This window comes from Homo sapiens, chromosome 3, assembly GCF_000001405.40.
Source record: "Homo sapiens chromosome 3, GRCh38.p14 Primary Assembly".
In the NCBI taxonomy this organism is placed as follows: domain Eukaryota; kingdom Metazoa; phylum Chordata; class Mammalia; order Primates; family Hominidae; genus Homo; species Homo sapiens.
The window spans coordinates 169856278-169878014 of record NC_000003.12 but is presented as its reverse complement, the minus strand read 5'-3'; the positions used below and the strand labels follow the sequence as shown (position 1 = coordinate 169878014).

General features: G+C 42.4%; 1 protein-coding gene across 7 annotated transcripts in view; it reads left to right on the top strand.

Annotated features, from left to right (window-relative positions):
- The first annotated feature begins 8079 nt into the window (after positions 1-8079).
- LRRC31 (leucine rich repeat containing 31) overlaps positions 8080-21737 on the top strand; it is a 30764-nt gene continuing 17106 nt past the window's right edge. For 5 of the 7 annotated variants that reach the window (XM_011513159.3, XM_011513158.3, NM_024727.4 and 2 more), the window contains exons 1-5: positions 8080-8382; positions 16202-16345; positions 17287-17454; positions 21143-21310; positions 21512-21679. In XM_011513159.3, coding sequence (XP_011511461.1) covers positions 8208-8382; positions 16202-16345; positions 17287-17454; positions 21143-21310; positions 21512-21679 — 823 coding nt within the window. In that variant the 5' untranslated portion in view covers positions 8080-8207. Of the gene's footprint in view, positions 8383-15354; positions 15380-16201; positions 16346-17286; positions 17455-21142; positions 21311-21511; positions 21680-21737 lie in introns of those variants that run through there. The other 2 variants (XM_017007204.2, NM_001277128.2) reach the window with 2 other exon arrangements.

Below are 21737 nucleotides of genomic sequence, written 5' to 3'. Positions count from 1 at the left end.
GGTGCAAAGAAATACAACTCATGGCTGTTGTCCTTAAGGAACTAACTGCCCAGCTGAGGAAGCAAGATGTTAATACCTTAAATTACTTATTACTTAAATTCATGGCTATGTATTTTTAAATACAGGTCAGGCAATACAAGAATTTCAGAGGTGAGAAAGCTCCACACAGCCAGTTACATAGTCAAAGTCTATGGGGATGTGGGAGGTGAGCTGGCTTGGGGGTGGTAGGACTCGGGTTTTGGAGGCTGGATGGCCCTCCTGAGCCTGGGCTTCTCCAGGGAGAGCCTGGGAGAAGATCAGGGAGGAAAAAGAGCACAACACAGATAGTGGAGCGAGGGCACCTACCATCAACAGCTGGGTGGAGGATGCCATAGAGCAGCAGGGGAGAAATGCTGAGAGCACAGCACTTCACCCAACAGTGGCCTTCCCTTCCCTTTGTCTTTCTCAGGTCATGTCAGTTCTGACCTCAGGCTTTCCCCAGGTCATAATGTAACCAGGCAGCTTAAATTCAAAATGCATTTTAAAACTTTTTTTTCTTTTTTTTTTTTTTGAGACGGAGTCTTGCTCTGTCGCCAGGGTGGAGTGCAGTGGCGCAATCTTGGCTCACTGTAACCTCTGCTTCCCAGGTTCATGCCTCCCCGGTTTAAGCAATTCTCCTGCCTCAGCCTCCTGAGTAGCTGGATTACAGGTGGGTACCACCATGCCCAGCTAATTTTTGTATTTTTAGTAGAGACAGGGTTTTGCCATGTTGGCCAGGCTGGTTTCGAACTCCTGACCTCAAGTGATCCACTCGCCTCAGCCTCCCAAAGTGCTGGGATTACAGGTGTGAGCCACTGCACCCAGACTGTATTTTGTTTTTAATTCCACAGGTATTTCAAAGAATCTCTGGGGAGGCTTAGAAGCTGCACTTATGGCACCAGGAAGCATGAATCATGCAGAATCCATTCTGAAGACATGGCCTTGGCTGTGGCAATTATATTAGGCTTCGAAGGCAGTAGGGGCCAAGGTTCTAGCAGAGAGCCTAGCCTGCCGCATCAATGGGGTCAATGGTGCAGAACGTGGTGTCTGCACTCAGCGGTAACAAGGAGAAAATAGAGATTAAAATTATTTGTCTCCTTTTGCCCAGCTTTGATTAAAAAGAAATAACTAAGACAAAACATCCATAAAGATGATGTGCTATGAAAGGCCTGAGTTGAAGTGACTTTCTGGGAGTGCTAGGTAACTGTTTGCTTGCTCTAGTTCATATTAAGAGAAAACTTTCAGCTTGCCTAAATGCTTTTAATGTATTTAAGCAACTTCAATGTAATTTATAATTTCTAGACTTGAAATAATTTGCTTGAATTTAGGATTTTTTTTTTGAGGAAATTGTTAGTTCACAAAATGCCTGTTATCCTTTACTTAAGTTGTAAATGACATCACTAGTATATATTTTCTATATTTTCATTTTTCTCCAGAAGGTTGTAAAAAGCCAGAACAGCTTTTAGTTCTTTGAGATTGTCACTGTGATTTCTCATCTCTCTTTCCCAAAAGACTTAATAAGAAAAAAAATTAATTTAAATTGTTTCTGTCAGATTCAGAAAACTCTAAATATAATAAGTAAGAGTTTTGTTCAGGAAATGCATCCCTTTTACCTTTTGTGTGCTGTGTACCTCTGCATTTCCAAATAACATGCTTATACTGTTATTTCATTTTTAGGTATTACCTATTGTCCTCTTTGTAGGACAAATGAGGATTTATTTCTGTTACATGTTTGCAAATTTCCCCTTTCCTCGGCATTCCAATATGGTTATTCCTGAGTTTTAACATATAGTGTTTATACTATTATGGCAATGTAAAAGTTGTTCACAGCTTAACCACAAAATATACCAAAAATGTGTAAGTTCACTCATTTAATGTGTACAATTCAATGACTTTAAATATATTCACAGTTGTGCAATCATCACCACAATCAATTTTAGGACAATTCCACATTTCTGTAGAAATGTGGAAATGAAACTCTATATCCTTTAGTTATAATATCCCTATCTCCTCACCCAATGTACAACTATTAATCTACTTTGTTTTATTCTGGCTATTTAATATAAACGGAATAATATATGTGGCCTTTTATGTTTGACTTCTTTCACTTAGCATATTTTCAAGATTTATTCATATTCAGTTATGTATCAATACTTCATTATATTTTTGTGCCTGAATAATATTGTTACTGGATCTTTGGGTGTCTATTTTCTTCCTGAAAACCCTGTGGCTGGTAGCACCTTTGCCTGAGTTCTTGTCCTGTGTCCAGGAAGAATGAGGTACACAGACAAGTGGATGGTGAAGAAGATGAAGAGGAGCTTTATTTAGTGTTAGAACAGCTCAGAGGAGACCCACAGTGGGTAGCTCCCCTCTGTAGGCAGGCAGGTCATACCCTCAGTGTTCAGTGCTCAGCAGAGAGGAGGCCCTTGGAGAGGGTAGTTCCTCCCTGCAGGCAGGTCATTTGGTCATTTGGTGGTCTCTGCAGATCTCTGAAGTTCTCAGCAGAGAAGGTGGCTCCTCTCTGCAGCTGGTTGTTCCCTCATCTGCTCAACTCTGGCTGAGCCCAGGGCTTTCATGGGCCTCAGAGGGGTTATTGTTGGAGGACTGGGTAGACTCCAAACTGCAACAACAGCTGGGTGTGGTGGCTCATGCCTGTAATTCCAGCACTTTGGGAGGCCAAGGTGGGCGGATCACTTGAGGTCAGGAGTTCAAGACCAGCCTGGCCAACGTGGTGAAACCCCATCTCTACTAAAAATACAAAAATTAGCTGGGTGTGGTGGTGAGCACCTGTAACCCCAGCTACTTGGGAGGCTGAGGCAGGAGAATTGCTTGAACCCAGGAGGCAGAGGTTGCAGTGAGCCAGGATCGCACCACTGCACTCCAGCCTGGGCGACAGAGCTAGAGTCCATCTCAATAAATACATAAAAACAAACAAACAAACAAACAAACAAACAAACAAAAAACCCCACTTCACCATCAACATTTTCATCTTGCCCAGAAACTGCTATCTAGAAGTTCTTCTGTTCTCTGGATTTTCTCTTGACTTATGAACCATACATCGTCTCATCTCTTAACACTCTAAGTATAATAGTGATTTGTAAAAGTCCCTTCTTCTCCCCACATTGTCTTTATTTTCCAAGTTTCATTTTTCTTACTGTTTCTGCACCTTGGTGTTATGTCAGAATCTTTCCTCAAATATCTTGACATCCTTGGTGCTCCACGCATATGTAGATTATGCATTATACTGGAATGTCTGTGTACAAAAGTAGGGCCTGTCAGTCAGTGGGTTTCTTTGTAACGTGCTTGGGCAGGGACAGATTCATTTAGCTGAAGGACTTTCAACAGTCAATATCTAGGTTTTTTCTCTTAGGCTGGCCAGTTTCTTCAGATAGTTGTCATCCACTCCACCTCTGTTATGTGGCGAAGTGGGTAGTTACATTTGGTTGTCAGGGTGTTCTTGGAGGAACAGAAGAGGGAATAGGGACGGGTTTCATAGCTCAGTTATAGACTTTACTTAAGCTCCTTTCAGATAAGGTATTCAAAACTTGACCAGTGTCTGAGTCTGGATCTTCTATGTTTCGACGTGTCGTGAAAATAAACATTCTTCTGCCAAGATGGGGAAGGGGTAGCCTCCTGGCTGCCCGAAGTGAGAAATAGAATTTAACAATTTAACCTCTTACAAATGTTTCGCGAATCATCTTGTGTGCAGCTCTACCCACACATCTCTTTCCTTCAGAGTTACCTTGTGCTGTCAATTACTGAGACTTTCGGGATTCTGACGTTTGAAAAATTTGTTCTCCCAATCCATGCAGACACTTAACTTTAAAGTCAGTTAAACTCATCCTCTTGCTCTCTAGTTTTCAAAGTTGTGTTAACATCTATCCAGTTCTCCTTATCCTTACAGATTTATGATTTTTTTAAAAATCTGTTGATTAAATAGGGTTTCAAGAGAAGTGGAGGTAAACACATATTTACCTCTGCCATCGTTTTAGTAGAACTTCCATATCATTCTTTTAATAAATTCCTTTTCTGCTTAAATTAACTAAAAATAGTACAGTGAACTAAAGTACTACAAATATATCTACAATAATGCCTCTTTAAGACAAGAGTTCTGAATAAGGCTGAACTAAGCTCATCAGACATAGAACTCAAGATACTGCGTGCCACCACAATGCCTTAGAACTGAGTGACTGAAGCTTTTTTTTTTCCGATTACCTAGGATTTTTATTTTATGCTTATTAAAAATCTATTTAGTAGTTAGGCATGGATTTTCTAAAATCATGTCACATTTGTGGATACATAAGAAGGAAAATAAAAGTAGAAATTGATTACTGTATTCTTAAAACTTTACATTTGGAGTTCAGTCCTCTGAATCACTTTCTATTTTTTTTTGAGATGGAGTCTCACTCTGTAGCCCAAGCTGGAGTGCAGTGGTGCAATCTTGGCTCACTGCAACCTCTGCCTCCTGGGCTCAAGCGATTCTCGTGCCTCAGTCTCACGAATAGCTGGGACTACAGGTGCACACTGCCACACCCGGCTAATTTTTTGTATTTTAGTAGAGATGGGGTTTCATCATGTTGCCCAGGGTGGTCTTGAACTCCTGAGCTCAGGAAATCTGCCTGCCTTGGCCTCCCCAAAGTGCTGGAATTACAGGTGTGAGACACTGCACCCAGCCTGAATCACTTTTTAAAAATACACTTAAAAATGTTTTAATTGTGGTAAAAACTACAGAACACAAAATTAACCATCTTGACCATTTTTAAGTATACAGTTCAGTAGTGTTAAATATATTCACATTGTTGTACAACAGATTCACAAAGTTGTACAAAGACGAACTTTTTCATCTTGCAAAACTGGAACTTTATACCCATCAGACGACTCCCTACTTCCCCTCCCCCTAGCCCCTGGCAAACACAATTTTTACTGTTTCCATGAATTTGGCTACTTTAGATACTGCATAGAAGAGGTGTCATACAGTATTTATCTTATTGTGACTGGCTTATTTCACTTGGCCTAATGTCCTCAAGATTCATTCATGTTGTAACAGGCAACAGAATTTCCTTTCTTTTTTTAATGAAATAAGACTGTGGAGAAAGAAAAATGCATCTCCCTTTGACAAACAACATTGAAAATATGATTCACTCTGAAACATTACATCAAAAAATGAAAGACTGGCTAGGTGCGGTGGCTCACGCCTGTAATCTCAGCACTATGGGAGGCCGAGGTGGGCGCACCACCTGAGGTCAGGAGTTTGAGACCAGCCTAGTCAACATGGTGAAACCCCGTCTCTACTAAACATACAAAAATTAGCCACGTGTGGTGGCGGATGCTTGTAATCCCAGCTATTTGGGAGGTTGAGGCAGGAGAATCACTTGAACCCAGGAGGCAGAGGTTGCAGTGAGCCAAGATTGCGGCACTGAATTTCAGCCTGGGCAACAGTGAGACTCCATCTCCAAAAAAAAAAAAAAAAAAGAATAAAGAAAGAAAGACCTTTAAAGACATTCCTCAAAAATTTTAAATTATATTAAACCCAAACCTAAGGATTGACAAGAAAGGAAAGGTATTCCTTACTTTTGCAAAAGTAATAAATAAAAAGAGCTTACATGCAAGAGAAATGACGTGTCAAATATGTATTATTACTCTTGAGGCTTCATGGCAAAACCTTAACTATTAAGAATATAGTAAATATGGAAAGTATCTGCTCAATTAATATTGATGAGTTGAATTGAAATATCAGCCATTTCTTATTCCTAAGGGCTCTTAAGTGAATGCTTTTGACCCTGGTAGAAGGGACAAACCCCCAGTTTTTAGCTGCTGTATTGTGGTGGTTGTGCTGTGATCTGCAAATTTTCCCAAATTCCTTTTCCAGGGATTTCCTTTATAAAGTCCAGTTCAGGGATAAGGAGGAAGCGGAAGGTTTACTGAAGCTAAGATTTTAAAGATGGACTTGGTTTGGGAAGCCTGAGGGCTTATTAAAGTTTTTATATAAAGAGGAATTTCCCAGACATATTTTCAAGAAAAAATTATTATTATTTTTAAATATGAGTATGGTAACCTAGCACTTAACTACTATACATGAAGAAATGTGCAAATGCTTCCCCCTTTTCATTCAAAAGCCTTCCTTCCTCTGGCATGGTCCTTTCTTGTTGCCTTATTAGCCTCCTGGTTGCTTTCTATTCTCCTGTTCCTTTCCTCTCCTTCACATCCTCTTCTGTTCCTTGGTTCTTGTGTTTCTTGGCTTCCTGGCTCCCCTGTTCCTTAGTGTACTGATCTTCACAGAGAACTGGCTGGGCCTCAGAAGCTGGGTGTGGTTTCACCTGGGTAAATTACCACATCCTGGAGCACCCTCCAGCACTGTTTTCTTAGGACTTGGGGAGTTGGAGTCAGTGCATTTGGGGGGAGGATAAAAAAGTGAAACCATTTACTGAGCTAGCTCCCCAGAGAATAGCCCTGTCTAAATCTCCAAATGGTGAAATTGGCTGAAAATGACCATGGAGGTGTCCTGGGTGGGGGGCCAGAAGAGTAGCAAATTGAGAAAGGCCTGGGGTGATGGTGGAATCAGGGTGAGGCAGCCAGGGCTGCAGGTCATGTTTAGATTTATGAGTTAGCGCCCCTTTCCTTCTTCTTTTCCACCTAACCCCCTGAGACTCTAGTCAGCTGTGCTGCTGTGCATGGAGTAATTGTTTAGTTCCACTGCTGTCTGTTGCTGGGTAAACCAGGGCTGGGCCCTGCTCTAATATGAAAGGAAGATTTTAAAAGAAAAATGGAATGTCCAATTGTGACTTCCAAAGCAGTGCTCCAAGTGCATGGAACATTCCAGCCCTCACGAGTGGAGGTGGGCTCTGCAAGGTCCATTTTTAGGATTCCCTGTGTAAAATGTTTCTTGGACCATTCTGGAACATAATGTTACAGAAAGAGCTATTTTATTAGAGAGGAGACTATGAAAACTGTAATTTCAAGAATACTTCTGCTGGGCATGATGGTTCACACCTTTAAGCCCAGCACTTTGGGAGGTCGAGGTGGGCGGATCACTTGAGGCCAGAAATTCAAGACGAGCCTGGCCAACATGGTGAAAATCCATCTCTATGTCAAAACAAAACAAAACACTTCTGTGTATCCCTTTAGTTTAAGTCCTTAGCCCTCCCATAAAATATAAGCAAATTTCAGGAGAGATAATAGATTGACCTTTACGAATCCTTTTTAGCTTCAATTCATACCAGACCTCACCCCTAACCTCCACACCCCCTGACCCACATCCCCACCTCCAATGCTAGGCTCTTCCAGCCGTTCCTGCCTGGGAGCTCTTGAGCTTACCCTTTCTTCTGCCTGGGATACTCTTCCCTCTCTTAAAAAGCTAACTCGCAGTCCTTCAAAACCCAGGCAATGTCACTCACTGTTCCAAGTCTGTTCTCCAAGGCATGCTTAGTTTACTGTGGGTTCCCTGACCACCTCCCATCTCTTGGCTCTTGTCCCACTCAATCAATGGCATACAGGTCCATCTTCCCACCAGGTTAAGATCCCATCAAAGACAAGAACTGTCTCTTGTTCGTCATTGAATCTTTTGCATTTAGAACATTAACTGGCCCACAGTAGATTCTTTAAAACTATTTATGGAATGAATGAATTCTTTACTGCCAACATGTTTCAGTGGGGTGGTGGTGCAGGGTTGGGGGTAGAGAAAATATGAATATGCAAAGAGAAAAAGGAGCTTATGTGCAAAGGAAGGAGGTGGGGGTCACCAGAAGGCAGAGGTCGCTGAAGGCAAACTCCTCTGGGGACAGCTTTGCAAATGGCCAGTCCCTTTTAAAGGCATATTAAGTCTTCAGGTAACTAATTGACAGCTGTAATTTAAGATGTGTTGACACACTTGATGTGCTTGCCAAAGTCATGCTTAATGACTTGTATCTCACACAATGAAATAGGGCAAAGTTAAAAACTCAAATTGCTTTGAGTTTGTATTGGCTTCTGGATCCTGGGTTACATCATTCTTATTTTCATGTTAAACATTAACAGCAATAAAAAAACAGAAAAAGAAAGGTGGTGCGGCAGGGAGTGGGGGGCAGTCATGTAGGGGAGGATATTTTGATTGAACACAGGCTTGACAGAATCTTCTTTTCTTCTTAGAAATCCTAGAAAACAGAAAGCAACAGGAAGATGTCTTATTGGGAACTACCCCCATCAACTTCACCATGAGTCAAACAAGGAAGAAAACTTCCTCAGAAGGAGAAACTAAGCCCCAGACTTCAACTGTCAACAAATTTCTCAGGGGCTCCAATGCTGAAAGCAGAAAAGAGGACAATGACCTTAAAACAAGTGATTCCCAACCCAGCGACTGGATACAGAAGACAGCCACCTCAGAGACTGGTAAGCTGCTGGCTGCTGGTGTTTTTGCTGTTGTATTTGTTTTGTTTTTACTTCCACATTTAAAATATTTTTATTTTTAATTTTTGTGGGTACATAGTAGGTGTATATATTTATGGGGTATATGAGATGTTTCAATACAGGCATGCAATGCCTAATAATCATATTGTGGAGAATGGGGTATCCATCCCCTCAAGCATTTATCCTTTGTGTTACAAACAATCCCATTATACCTTTAGTTTTATTTATTTATTTATTTATTTTGAGACAGAGTTTCACTCTTGTCACCCAGGCTGGAGTGCAATGGCGTGATCTCAGCTCATAGTAACCTCTGCCTCCCGGGTTCAAGCGATTCTCCTGCCTCAGCCTCCCGAGTAGCTGGGATTACAGATGCGCACCACCATGCCCAGCTAATTTTTGTGTTTTTAGTAGAGATGGGGTTTCACTGCATTGGCCAGGGTGGTCTCGAATTCCTGACCTCAGGTGATTTTCCTGCCTTGGCCTCCCAAACTGCTGGGATTACAGGTGTAAGCCATCACACCAGGCCTCTTTTAGTTATTTTTAAATGTGCAATAAATTATTGCACATTTAAAAATAACTAAAAGAGCACAACGGGTTGTTTGTAAACAAAGGATAAATATAGTCACCCTGTTGTGCTATCAAACAGTAGATCTTATATATTCTATTTTTTCTGTACCCATTAACCATCCACACCTCCCCCACCAACAACACACACACCCTTCCCAGCCTCTATGTTTCTTTATTTTTTAGAGTTTTCTTCTAAAGTGATCTTATGGGTTAAACTAAAGACTTTAAGACTTTTGAGACTAAAGACTCAACTATGAGTCTCTGTGCTAATCATTTATTATGTTACTTACATGCTTTAAATGATTCATAATTTTACTTTTAAATTGTTAAAAGCAATATAACACTACAGAAAAATGTAGGGAAAATACTGAATTTCCTTTCATTATAACACAAACGATCATTTCTTTAAGATTCTTTTCAGTCTTTTCTTTTCATATGCATGCATTTATGTTCTGTCAGTCAGCAGTCAATAAATCTTTATTGAGTGCTTGCTATGTAGTAACCCCTGCTCTAAGTGTTAGAAATACAGCCATGAAAAGGACCAAATGCAGATATAACTTCAGGTGGTGATAAGTGATATGAAGAAAAATAATGCAGGCTAAGGAGACAAAGAATGATGGGATGGGGTGCTATTTAGATGGGGGTGGAGGAAAGAAGTCTTCGATTTGGAGGCATTTGAGCAGCAATCTGAATAAAATCAGCTTTGCTGAATGAATGAATAAAGCGAGCCACTTAGGTATTTGTGCAAATAGCTTTCCAGGCAAAGAGACTGTACATGCAAAGGCTTTAGATACGACTGAGCCTAGAGTGCTTGAGAGAGAGTCAGGAAGTCAGGGATGCTAAAGCAGGATGGGAGACATGGAGAGGAAGGGGTAGTGGAAGACAAGTCAGAGAGGTCGCTGGGGCCAGATTGGCATCTTTTCCACAGTTGTAATAGCTTACAGATTCCTCCTGAGTTTATGTGGAGCTGTGATCCTACTTCTAGAACATATTATTATATTGCTCAATTCCCACATTGCTACATGATGCTCATATGCATAATTTTCATGGTTGCATAATATTCCATCACATTCATATGTCTTAATTACTCAGTGAGTTCCTTGTTTGTCCTTCGGTGAGTATCTTTGGCTTTCTTTCTTTCCCATTCCCTGTTTCACCATATTTCAGCTATTTTTAAAGTATAAATTTCCAGAACAGGGATTGCAAATTCAAGGGTTATGAAAATAAATATTGTCAAATCTCTCTCTAAAGTTATGTGTTATGTGCAATGTCATCAATATATTATCTATTAGATTAAAAGCATTTTAAAAACATTTTAAGCATATGCAAAAATAGAATAAAGAATCCCCATAGTCACCTACTTTTAGTAATTATCAGTTGGGCATGGTGTTTCATGCCTGTAATCCCAGCACTTTGGCAAGCTGAGGCAGGAGGATCGCTTAAGGCCAGTAGTTTAAGACCAGCCTGGGCAATATAGCAAGACTCTGTCTTGGTCGGGTGCGGTGGCTCATGCCTGTAATCCCAACACTTTGGGAGGCCGAGGCAGGCATATCATGAGGTCAGGAGATCGAGACCATCCTGGCTAATACGGTAAAACCCAGTCTCTATTAAAAATATAAAAAAGTAGCCGGGTGTGGTAGCAGGTGCCTGTAATCCCAGCTACTCGGGAGGCTGAGGCAGGAGAATCGCTTGAATCCGGGAGGTGGAGGTTTCAGTGAGCCAAGATTGCACCACTGCGCCACTGCACTCCAGTCTGGGCGACAGAGCAAGACTCTGTCTCAAAAAAAAAAAAAAAAAAAAAGACTCCATCTCTAGAAAATAGTTTAAAAATTAGCTGGGCATGGTGGTGCATGCCTGTGGTCCTAGCTACTCTGGAGGCTGAGGTGGGAGGATCGCTTGAATTTTAGAGGTTGAAGCTGTGGTAAGCCATGATTGCACCACTGGACTCCAGGCTGAGTGACAGAGCAAGACCCTCAAAAAAAAAAAAACAAACAAACAAACAAAAAAAACCCATGGCCAATTTTCTTTCTGAGACAGAAAAAAAAAAAATCAACCCATGGCCGATTTTGTTTCTTTCTTTCTTTTTGAGACAGAGTTTCGCACCGTCACCCAGTCTGGAGTGCAGCAGTGTGATCTCGGCTCACTGCAACCTCTGCCTCCCAGGTTCAAGTGATTCTCTTGTCTCAGCCTCCCAAGTAGCTGGAACTACAGGTGTCCGCCACCATGCCCAGCTAATTTTTTTGTATTTTTAGTAGAGAAGGAATTTCACCTTGTGGGCCAGGCTGATCTCGAAGTCCTGACCTTAGGTGATCTGCCTGCCTTGGCCTCCCAAAGTACTGGGATTACAGGCCTGGCCAGGAGCCACTGTGCCTAGCCAATTTTATATCATTTATACCTACCCTCCCTTCCATCAGATTGTTTGCCATCAAATGCCAAAAATAATACAGTTTTAGCAGCAAGTAGATTAAATGTATTTTAAGTATGTTTTTATAAATAGGAAATTAAAGTCTGTCTTTAAAAGAAAACCATCTCTATCAGAAAATTGTTCATTTTTGTTCTAGAGTGTGATTTAGAGCATCAGGAAAGAAGATAATGAATAAATGTAATTGTGATTAAATTAACAGTGCAAAACCAAGCCGGGGTCATCCCTGCTGTGCAACACTGACCACCCAAGCTGCTTGGTTCTTCATTTCTATTTCTCCCAAAATTCTATGGCTCCTGGAGTCATGTTAATTCTGTCCTTAAATAGCTCTCCCACCTGGTTCTTCCTCTCCATTGCTGCTGCCTAGCTCTCATTGTCTCTTGCCTGGACCACAGCAATAGCTTCCTAACTGGTTTCTCTGCTTCCAGTCTTGCTCTCTTGCCAATCTGTCCTCTACACTGCCATAATGCTCTTTCTAAACCACAGATATGGTGGTGTCTCTCGCCTGCTTAAAATCCTTCACTGAGTTTCTCTCACCTATATTCCCAAGCATGGCCCTCAAGGTATTAGTGATCAGTTGGATATTGGATATCTCTTCATGACCTTTGCCTTCTCCCACCTCCCACCACAGCGCCGCCCTCATCCTCTACGTGTGGCCCTCTGATTTACTTATAATTCCCTGGACTGGCCACATTCTTCTCCCATCCCCAGCAAGTGGTTCTTTGTGGCTAGAAAGATGTTCCCTCGTGTCACCATCCTCCCCTGCAACCCCCCGACTTATCCCTCCCTCATGTCCACCCACCTGGATGACTCCCACTCTTCCTTTAAGGTGCAATCCAGGCACCAGTTTCTCTTGGAAACTTCCCAAGACCCTCCTCCCCGACCTGGAATCACCAGACTTGAGGTACTTATTGTCACTGAAGTGTGGAACCACACACCCCTGCGTGCCTCCACTTCTCATCTATACGGTAACGGTGGCTTTCTTGCTGTCTCTTTCATTAAACAGGCAGCTCTTTGAAAACAGGAACTTGTTATGTTGGTTCCTGGTACAGTACCACCCATGTTACCAATGTGTAATAATGTTTTATGAGTGTCGAGAGTTTTGGTTGACAAACCTTGACAGATTTCAGTCGGAAAGGAACTTAGTGAGAGCACTAAGAACCGAGAGCTTTGTTCAGAGCTAACACAGCTAGGAAAAGGCCTCAATCTCCACAGAGCGGCTCCTGTGTGGTTACTAATGCGCCCCCCATGGGTGCCTCCCACCCCACTCCAGCCTAGCTGTAGCAGCCCTGACTCACTTGTTCTACACACTGAGCTGTGACATAAGGTATCCTGTGAAGAGAAGGCTTCATATAATTTTTCTTTTTTTTTTTTTTGAGATAGAGCCTTACTCTGTCGCCCAGGCTGGACTACAGTGGCGCAATCTCGGCTCACTGCAACTCCACCTCCCGGGTTCAAGAGATTCTTGTGCCTCAGCCCCCTACTAGCTGGGACTACAGGCACCCGCCACTACACTGGGCTAATTTGGTTTCATAGGTTTTTTTTTTTTTGAGATGGAGTCTTGCTCTGTTGCCCAGGCTGGAGTGCAGTGGGACAATCTCGGCTCACGCAACCTCTGCCTTCTGGGTTCAAGCAATTCTCCTGCCTCAGCCTCCCAAGTAGCTGGGATTACAGGTGCATGCCAGTACGCCTGGCAAATTTTTGTATTTTTAATAGAGACGGTGTTTTGCCATGTTGGCCAGCCTGGTTTTGAACTCCTGACCTCAGGTGATCCACCTGCCTCAGCCTTCCTAAGTGCTGGGATCACAGGCATGAGCCACTGCACCTGGCCGGTTTCACAGATTTTTTAAAAATTGAAATACATGATCTGTGAGGAGATGTCCAGGGGTCTCATAAGTTAGTACTCACATTTATATTTAAGTGTTTTGATAAAGATTTATCATGATGATTTATTTTGGTAATTGAGGAACTGTAAAACCAATATTCATTCATTCAATTGTTTGCTCATTTAACAAATATTTACCAAATACCTCTCAGGTAAAAGGCCCTGCAGATTACCATGTGCATAGGAGGTTCCAGTAAGTTTAAATCACGATGCTCTTGAGAAATGAACCAGGCATTTCATAGATGAGTAAACCAAGGCTCAGAGAGGTTGAGTGACTTGTTCCTCAGACAGACCTGTGATTTGGATCAGGTCTTTTGACTGTACTGCTTACTTGTCAGTCACATCAAACATGACAGAGCACCCAGTGGGATGTGGACTGAGAAGAGATTTCTGCGTCTGTCAGTTTGTAGGTTATTGTTGGTGACCTTTGAGAAACAATGTATTTGGATAGAGGAGTGTAGCAACCAGAAGGTAGAGGGTTAGCTTGTAAATGTGGGGAAGGAGTTGGGCCAGCAAGTGGAAACCACTCTTTCCAAACATTTGACAGTAAAGGAAATGCTTGACAGAGCAGTGTCTTGAGGAGAAAACAGAAGAGTGGGTTTGGTGGGGCTGGAACTTGAGGATGATTGTAGGTCGAGATAAAAAGCTTAAAAACAAAAGAGAGACAGCAATAAGATGCAATGCAGAGAAATTTTTTAAAATACAAAAATAACACACACACACACACACACACACACACTAGGCTTTGGAACAAACTATTCTGGGTTCAAATTCAGGCTCTGCTTCTTCCTAATTAATCGTGTCTCTAAGTTTCCAAATCTATGAAATGGTTTGTGACTCGTTTAGACAAAATGTCCTGTACTTGCTGGCACCTAAGAGGCAGTCCCTCCCTGTCTCCCATCCACAATTCTGCTCTGCCCCACCCAAAATTAGGGTTGCCAGAGAAAATACATGCAACAGTTGAGGCATACAATAAAACAATTCCTTGTCGATTTAAAATTTAAATTTAACTGGGCACCCTGTTGTTGTTTTTCCTAAATCTGGCAACTCTACCCAAAATTAAATGCCTTGTGTCCAATGTGCCATAAAAACGGAAGGCGAGAGTGAAAGGTTAAATGGTGGATGCTGCTGCCTCCTACTGGTGAAATGTGGTAACACCAAGCATCCCAACAAGGACGCGTATCCTACGTGTGGTTTTCTTAGACCAAACAGGAAGCCACAAGACTGCTGTGGATTACAGGTGTAGTTTTTATTATCCTGCTAATCATTTGGTCTAAATTTATTACTACTGCAAACCTACTATCTTTTAATTTTCACAGGTACCAATGTATTTCTTCTTAGCTATGTTGTCTTACACCTTTTTGTCAGGGTTAATAAAATATTACTGCTCATTCCAGAACTTATTATTTCCTATTGGATTTCAATATACATAATCTATATGTTTAAAATTGTATATTTCACTTACAAAATCACTTTAAAATCACTGTCAGTACATGTATATTCATTTTTCCTTAGAAAAGTATGATGTGTTTTATGTATGTCTTAAATGCTGGCACCTGGCCTGCCATGGTGACTCATGCCTGTAATCCCAGCACTTTGGGAGGCCGGGTAGGTGGATCACCTGAGGTCAGGAGTTCGAGACCAGCCTGGCCAACATGGCGAACCCCTCATCTCTACTAAAAATACAAAAATTAGCCGGGCGTGGTGGCAGGCGCTTGTAGTCCCAGCTACTCGGGAGGCTGAGGCAGGAGAATTGCTTGAACCTGGGAGGTGGAGGTTGCAGTGAGCTGAGACTGTGCCACTGCACTCTAACCTGGGTGACAGAGTGAGACTCCATCCCCCCCAACAAAAAAAAAAAGAAAGAAAAAAGAAATGCTGGCACCTGCAAGTAGGCAAAGAACGAGTACATAACAGGTGCTCAATAAAATGATAGCTTTTATTATTATAGTGCTATCTTTTTTATTTATTTATTTATTTTTTTTAGATGCAGTTTCTCTCTGTTGCCAGGCTGGTGTGAAGTGGCACAATCTCAGCTTACTGCAATCTCTGCCTCCTGGGTTCAAGATATTCCCCTGCCTCAGCCTCCTGAGTAGCTGGGACTACAGGTGTGCACCACCACGCCCGGCTAATTTTTTGTATTTTAGTAGAGACAGCATTTCACCATGTTGGCCAGGATGGTGTTGATCTCCTGACCTCATGATCCACCCGCCTCAGCCTTCCAAAGTACTAGGATTACAGGTGTGAGGCACCGTGCCCAGCCACTAGCATGTTATTACAGTGTTATTACAGAGGAAGCTAGTGAGGGTGCCACAGTAGTCCCTAATAACAAGGAGGACAGACGAGGCTTTCCAAATTCACTTTCTGGCAGGAGTTGAGAAAAAGCAAAAGCTCTCCCAGGCCTAGTTTCTCTGGATTTGTGTTTGCCAATTGAATGGTCTAGAAACTGACCGGCAAGAATTCCACTTACTCCGTGTGGCCATTTGCAGCTCCTTGATGGTGATTTCAACGCTTTCCCTTCTTCACCTGTTTGGTTTGAGGAGGCAAGTATCTCTGCTTCCTCCCTAGCAGTTGCATCCACCAAAGATATGCGTGCCCTTCAAGTAAGCAAGCATCTCAAAAGCCGGGCTGACAGGTTTACTTCTCACCCAGGAATGCAGCTCTGTCTTCATGCTGAGAAGCCCAGGTCAGGTCATGATAGAAAAGCCACTGCGTTCCTCAGGCTCCTGAAGCAGTGTCTGGGCACCTGGCGGCAGGAACAGTGGTTAGTTAAGCTTTGTCCCTAGTAAATGGCTCTGCCTCTGAGTTGAGGTTTTTATAAAAGAGCAATTCAGAGTTATGCAGTCTTTTCACTTGTCTGATTGTGGTCATTATGCATCTTTAATACATCCATCATTAACAGCAAATTCTTTTTTATGCTTATCACACAGCTAAGCCTCTCAGTTCAGAAATGGAATGGAGATCCAGTATGGAGAAAAATGAGCATTTCCTGCAGAAGCTGGGCAAAAAGGCTGTCAACAAGTGTCTAGATTTGAATAACTGTGGATTAACAACAGCGGACATGAAAGAAATGGGTCTGTATGCAGCAGACTTTGCATAGAGGAAGATAGGGCCTTTCCATTGAGATAAGCAGATAAAACATACTCAGCTACCCACCTAGTAACCCCAAGTCTGCTGAGTGGTCCCAGACAATTGCAGAAACAGCATCGCTTTTTTTTTTTTTTTGAGACGGAGTCTCGCTCTGTCACCCAGGCTGGAGTGCAGTGACGCATCTCAGCTCACTGTAAGCTCCGCCTCCCGGGTTCACGCCATTCTCCTGCCTCAGCCTCCCGAGTAGGTTTTTTCTTTTTTCTTTTTTCTTTTTTTTTTAAGAAAAAGGCCAGGCGCAGTGGCTCACGCCTGTAATCCCAGCACTTTGGGAGGCCGAGGCGGGTGAATCACGGGGTTAGGAGTTGAAGACGAGCCTGGCCAAGATGGTGAAACCCCGTCTCTACTAAAAATACAAAAGTTAGCCAGGCGTGGTGGCGGGTGCCTGTAATCCCAGCCACTCGGGAGGCTGAGGCAGAGAATTACTTGAACCTGGGAGGCGGAGGTTGCAGTGAGCCAAGATCGTGCCACTGCACTCCAGCCTGGCGACAGATCGAGACTCCGTCTGAAAAAAAAAAAAAAAAAAGGAAAAGAAAAACAAGTTAATTGATCCTTCCTCAAGTTTTGAAGACTTCAGCTGAGTTTAGGAAAAGAGGCTGTATGAAATCTTACAGACACACTCCTGCATTTTCAGACTGCAGTTATTTGGCAGAAATAGAAAACATCCCAAGAAATAGCAAATGTAAACATCACAATTTCTCCACTTGTACAGCTGAGGGCTCCCTGCTTTGCCCAAAGTCAGCGTGCCTACCACTGTCTATTCTCTTACAGTGTAAAACTATATCCTGTGTATGTAAGCATTGCATTTTATTTACTACAAATCACAAGTCACATACACATATCTGTATTTTCTTCTGTTCACTTCTAGTTGCCTTGCTGCCTTTTCTCCCAGACTTGGAAGAACTGGATATCTCCTGGAATGGTTTTGTAGGTGGAACCCTCCTTTCCATCACTCAGCAAATGCATCTGGTCAGCAAGTTAAAAATCTTGAGGCTGGGTAGCTGCAGACTCACCACTGACGATGTTCAAGCACTGGGTATGATGAATGCATTTCTTAAAAGATGGATTCGGCCGGGCGCCGTGGCTCACAGCTGTAATCCTAACACTTTGGGAGGCTGAGGCTGGCGGATTGCCTGAGCTCAGGAGTTCGAGAACAGCCTGGGCAACATGGTGAAACCCTGTCTCTACTAAAATACAAAAAGTTAGCCGGGTGTGGTGGTGGGCTCCTGTAGTCCCAGCTACTCAGGAAGCTGAGGCAGGAGGATCGCTTGAACCTGGGAGGCGGAAGTTGCAGTGAGCCGAGATCGTGCCACTGCACACCAGCCTAGGTGACAGAGTGAGACTCCATCTCCAAACAAAAAAAAAGAAAAGAAAAGAAAAAAAAGAACAAGGCTGACCAGGTCCCTGCTTTCATGGAGTTTATTTATTTATTTATTTTTATTTTTATTTTTTTGAGATGGAGGCTCACTCTGTTGCCCAGGCTGGAGTGCAGTGGTGCAGTCTCGGCTCACTGCAACCTCTGCCTCCCAGGTTCAAGCAATTCTCCTGCCTCAGCCTTCCAAGTAGCTGGGATTACAGGTGTGAACCATCACACCTGGTTAATTTTTGTATTTTTAGTAGAGATGGGGGTTTCACCATGTTGGCCAGGCTGGTCTCGAACGTCTGACCTCAGGGAATCCACTCACCTTGGCCTCCCAAAGTGTTGAGATTATAGGTGTGAGCCACCGTGTCCAGCCTCATGTAGTTTCAATGGAGGTTACTGTAAAACATGCTTACACTGGGTCTGTTACTTCATGTGTAAAATAGAGGAGTTAGAGTAGACAAGAATTAAGTTCTTTTACAATTCCAAAAGAATACTTCTCTCTTCTATTTTCCCACCCACATTTTGAAACATTAAACAAAACAAGATTTTTAAGTTAATAGTTTAACTAGAACTAGAACCTCCATTAAGTTAGTTTCATAGGATTAAATTTGTACACAGTCATTCTACTTATCCAACTGCTGTACTAAAATGCTTGCTGGTTTATTAGATGTCTTTGATACTTTTTATTCTTCTTTTGATGTAAAGTTTCTTATTTTCATGACTTATTTTAATCCTTTACAGCTATTTAAAGATTTCTGTAAAAACAACACATTTTATGCCAAATATCTCCGCTTGTCAGTCTCTCCCTGGAAATGGGGGCAGCTGACGTCCCCCGGCCCATGCCTCCTGTAGCTGAGGAGAAACATTACACATCTCAGGTTGGCCAGATCCTACTTCAAATCCTAGTGCCTACCCGCCCCCCCGGCCTTTTTTTTTTTGAGACGGTGTTTCATTCTTGTCACCCAGGCTGGAGTGCAGTGGTGCAATCTTGGCTCACTGAAACCTCTGCCTCCCAGGTTCAAGTGATTCTCCTGCCTCAGCCTCCCAAGTAGCTGGGATTACAGGAGTGCACCACCATGCCCGGCTAATTTTTTGTATTTTTTTGTATTTTAGGCGTGCACCACCATGCCTGGCTAATTTTTGTAATTATTTTGTATTTTTTTTATTTTTAGTAGATCCTACTTCAAATCCTAGTGCCCATCCCCCACCCCCCCCCTTTTTTTTTTTGAGATGGCGTTTCATTCTTGTCACCCAGGCTGGAGTGCAGTGGTGCAATCTTGGCTCACTGAAACCTCCGCCTCCTGAGTTCAAGTGATTCTCCTGCCTCAGCCTCCCAAGTAGCTGGGATTACAGGCATGTACCACCATGCCTGGCTAATTTTTTTGTATTTTTAGTAGAGATAGGGTTTCACCATGCTGGCCAGGCTGGTTTTGAACTCCTGACTTCAAGTGATCTGCCCGCCTTGGCCTCCCAAAGTGCTAGGATTACAGGCGTGAGCCACCATGCCCAGCCTCTAGTGCCACTTTTAACTAGCTTTGTGAACATGAACAAATAATTTAAATTTCTGAGCCTCGGTTTTCTTATATCTGAAATAGGGATAACCTCCCTCTCAAAAAATTGTTGCAAGGATTAAACAATTTCTGTAAAGTGCCTACTGCATGCCTGGTGCATAATAGTTGCTCAATAACTGATAGTCCTTCTTTCTCCATTCTGTCATCTAAAACCACCTTTCTGTGGGTTTACATGATGAGTTTAGCCCCACATTAAGCAGCTGGTTATCATGTAGCAGACTCACAATTTTAACATACCATTACTCAGGTGTGAAAAGACAACTTTCTTATTTTCTGTGATTAACCTGATCTTTTTCCTGACCCTCCATCCTTAGAAAACAAGAAAATGAAATTTCTGCCCTGGGACCTGTTCCAAACTTACCTGGTTGAGGAGGGAGTCTGCACTGTTGTTGTTCTGATGTTTGCGCCCTTTTCCCTCTCCCAGAGTTATTTCTTCTCTGGAAGGACTTCTGCATCCTCTCCCATCAGGAGGGGCTTACCTATCACCCATACTCTATCTTCTTCACTCAACCTTAATGCAGATGGGGTATAGGGAAAATAAATGGTTTCTTGATAAGAGAACATAAATCAGAAGGCATTTCAAAATTGTTACACCCATTATAATAGTTTAGTACCGAGTGGCAAATGCATGGCACTCCAGTACCATGACCACTGCAGACATAACTAATCAATCATGAGCTCTTTCTCCCTGAGCCTGGGGAACACCTCAGGGCTATAGAAAGTCACCCCCAATTGACTGGTAATAGCACAAAAAATGATGCCTGTTCATTGCTGGCTTAAGATGCTATAACTCCTGGGGAATACGCATTTTAGCATGGGGTTCCTGGACTTCTAAAACCTTAATCCATGGAATGAATAAACCATGGTAGAAGTTCAAACCCAGGGACAGGTAGTAAAGAGGGTTCTAGATACAGGGGACTTGCCAGAATGCTTAATTGTTTGCACATTGAGAAAGTACATTTTCCATGTATGTGTCTACCCGCAAGGCAGTGAAAATCATTCCTAAGGACAGATCTGTTTGGTCACTTCTCCTATTCTCTCCCAGCCTCCACTCTGCAGCCCTGGGAGCTTTCCAGTGTGTAATGGTTTCAGAAATGTTAGTTTTCATCCCTGTGTCACTGCACCCTCCTTTACCCCTTAAGGCAGCACGGCTGTTATAAGCTTCTAGTGCCTGATGCTCTATTATTAGTTTCTCTCTGTAGTGGTCAGTTCAGGTTGCATGTGATATTCCTCATATATATATATATGTATATGTATATGTGTGTGTATGTATATATGTGTATATATATACTTGTGTGTGTGTGTGTGTGTGTGTGTATATATATATATATATATATATATATAGGCATGTGATATTCTTGACATTGGAGAGAGCTTTACCTCTGTGGTGGCCAGTTATCTGCTTTGCCTCACTTCTATCCCTGGTCAAACTTCTCAGAAATGCTGATCCCAGAGAGAGGGGCTAAGGGAAAGCAGATGAACCACCACAAAAGCAGCTTCCTAAAACCACCCTACCAATAGGTGGATTTTTCTACAACAACAATTGTTTAGCTCATACGCATGGCTTCAGAATTTTGGAGGGATTAGAATGACTGTGCCTGTAAATCTAGAGAAGCACGCCCTGCTATGAAGGAATTGGGTTCTTTCCTTCTCTCTGTTCCTCGGTGCCAAACAGGACAGTACCTGGCCCAGTTTCCACACTCCATTAATCATGGTTGTGCTGATTCTGAAATGAATTCCCTGCTTTTCTGACTAGTGACCAACAGAATTTTCGGGCCATTTGTTAACAGGAGAAGCATTTGAGATGATTCCTGAACTTGAAGAGCTAAATTTGTCTTGGAACAGTAAAGTGGGAGGAAATTTGCCTCTGATCCTTCAGAAGTTCCAAAAAGGGAGCAAGATACAAATGATTGAGCTTGTGGATTGCTCCCTCACGTCAGAAGATGGGACATTTCTGGGTAAGTGGAATTTGAAGAGAAAAAAAAAAAGTGAAGATGCCCACTGGATAGCTTGGGAAGTTTGCTGTGTTTTGTCTTATTCTGAATTTAAAGAAGGGTATGTAGGAGGGGAGTGGAGTTTTACGTCACGATATCCCCAGGTGATGTAAAACTCCACTCCCCTCCTACCTACCCTTCTTATTTGGATTTCTTTCCTTCTAGGTCAACTGCTACCTATGCTGCAAAGTCTCGAAGTACTTGATCTTTCCATTAACAGAGACATTGTTGGCAGTCTGAACAGTATTGCTCAGGGATTAAAAAGCACCTCAAATCTGAAAGTACTGAAGTTACATTCATGTGGATTATCACAAAAGAGTGTCAAAATATTGGGTGAGTTAACAATGGCTGGATTTAAGATTACATGTATAATTATATATGATATACATAT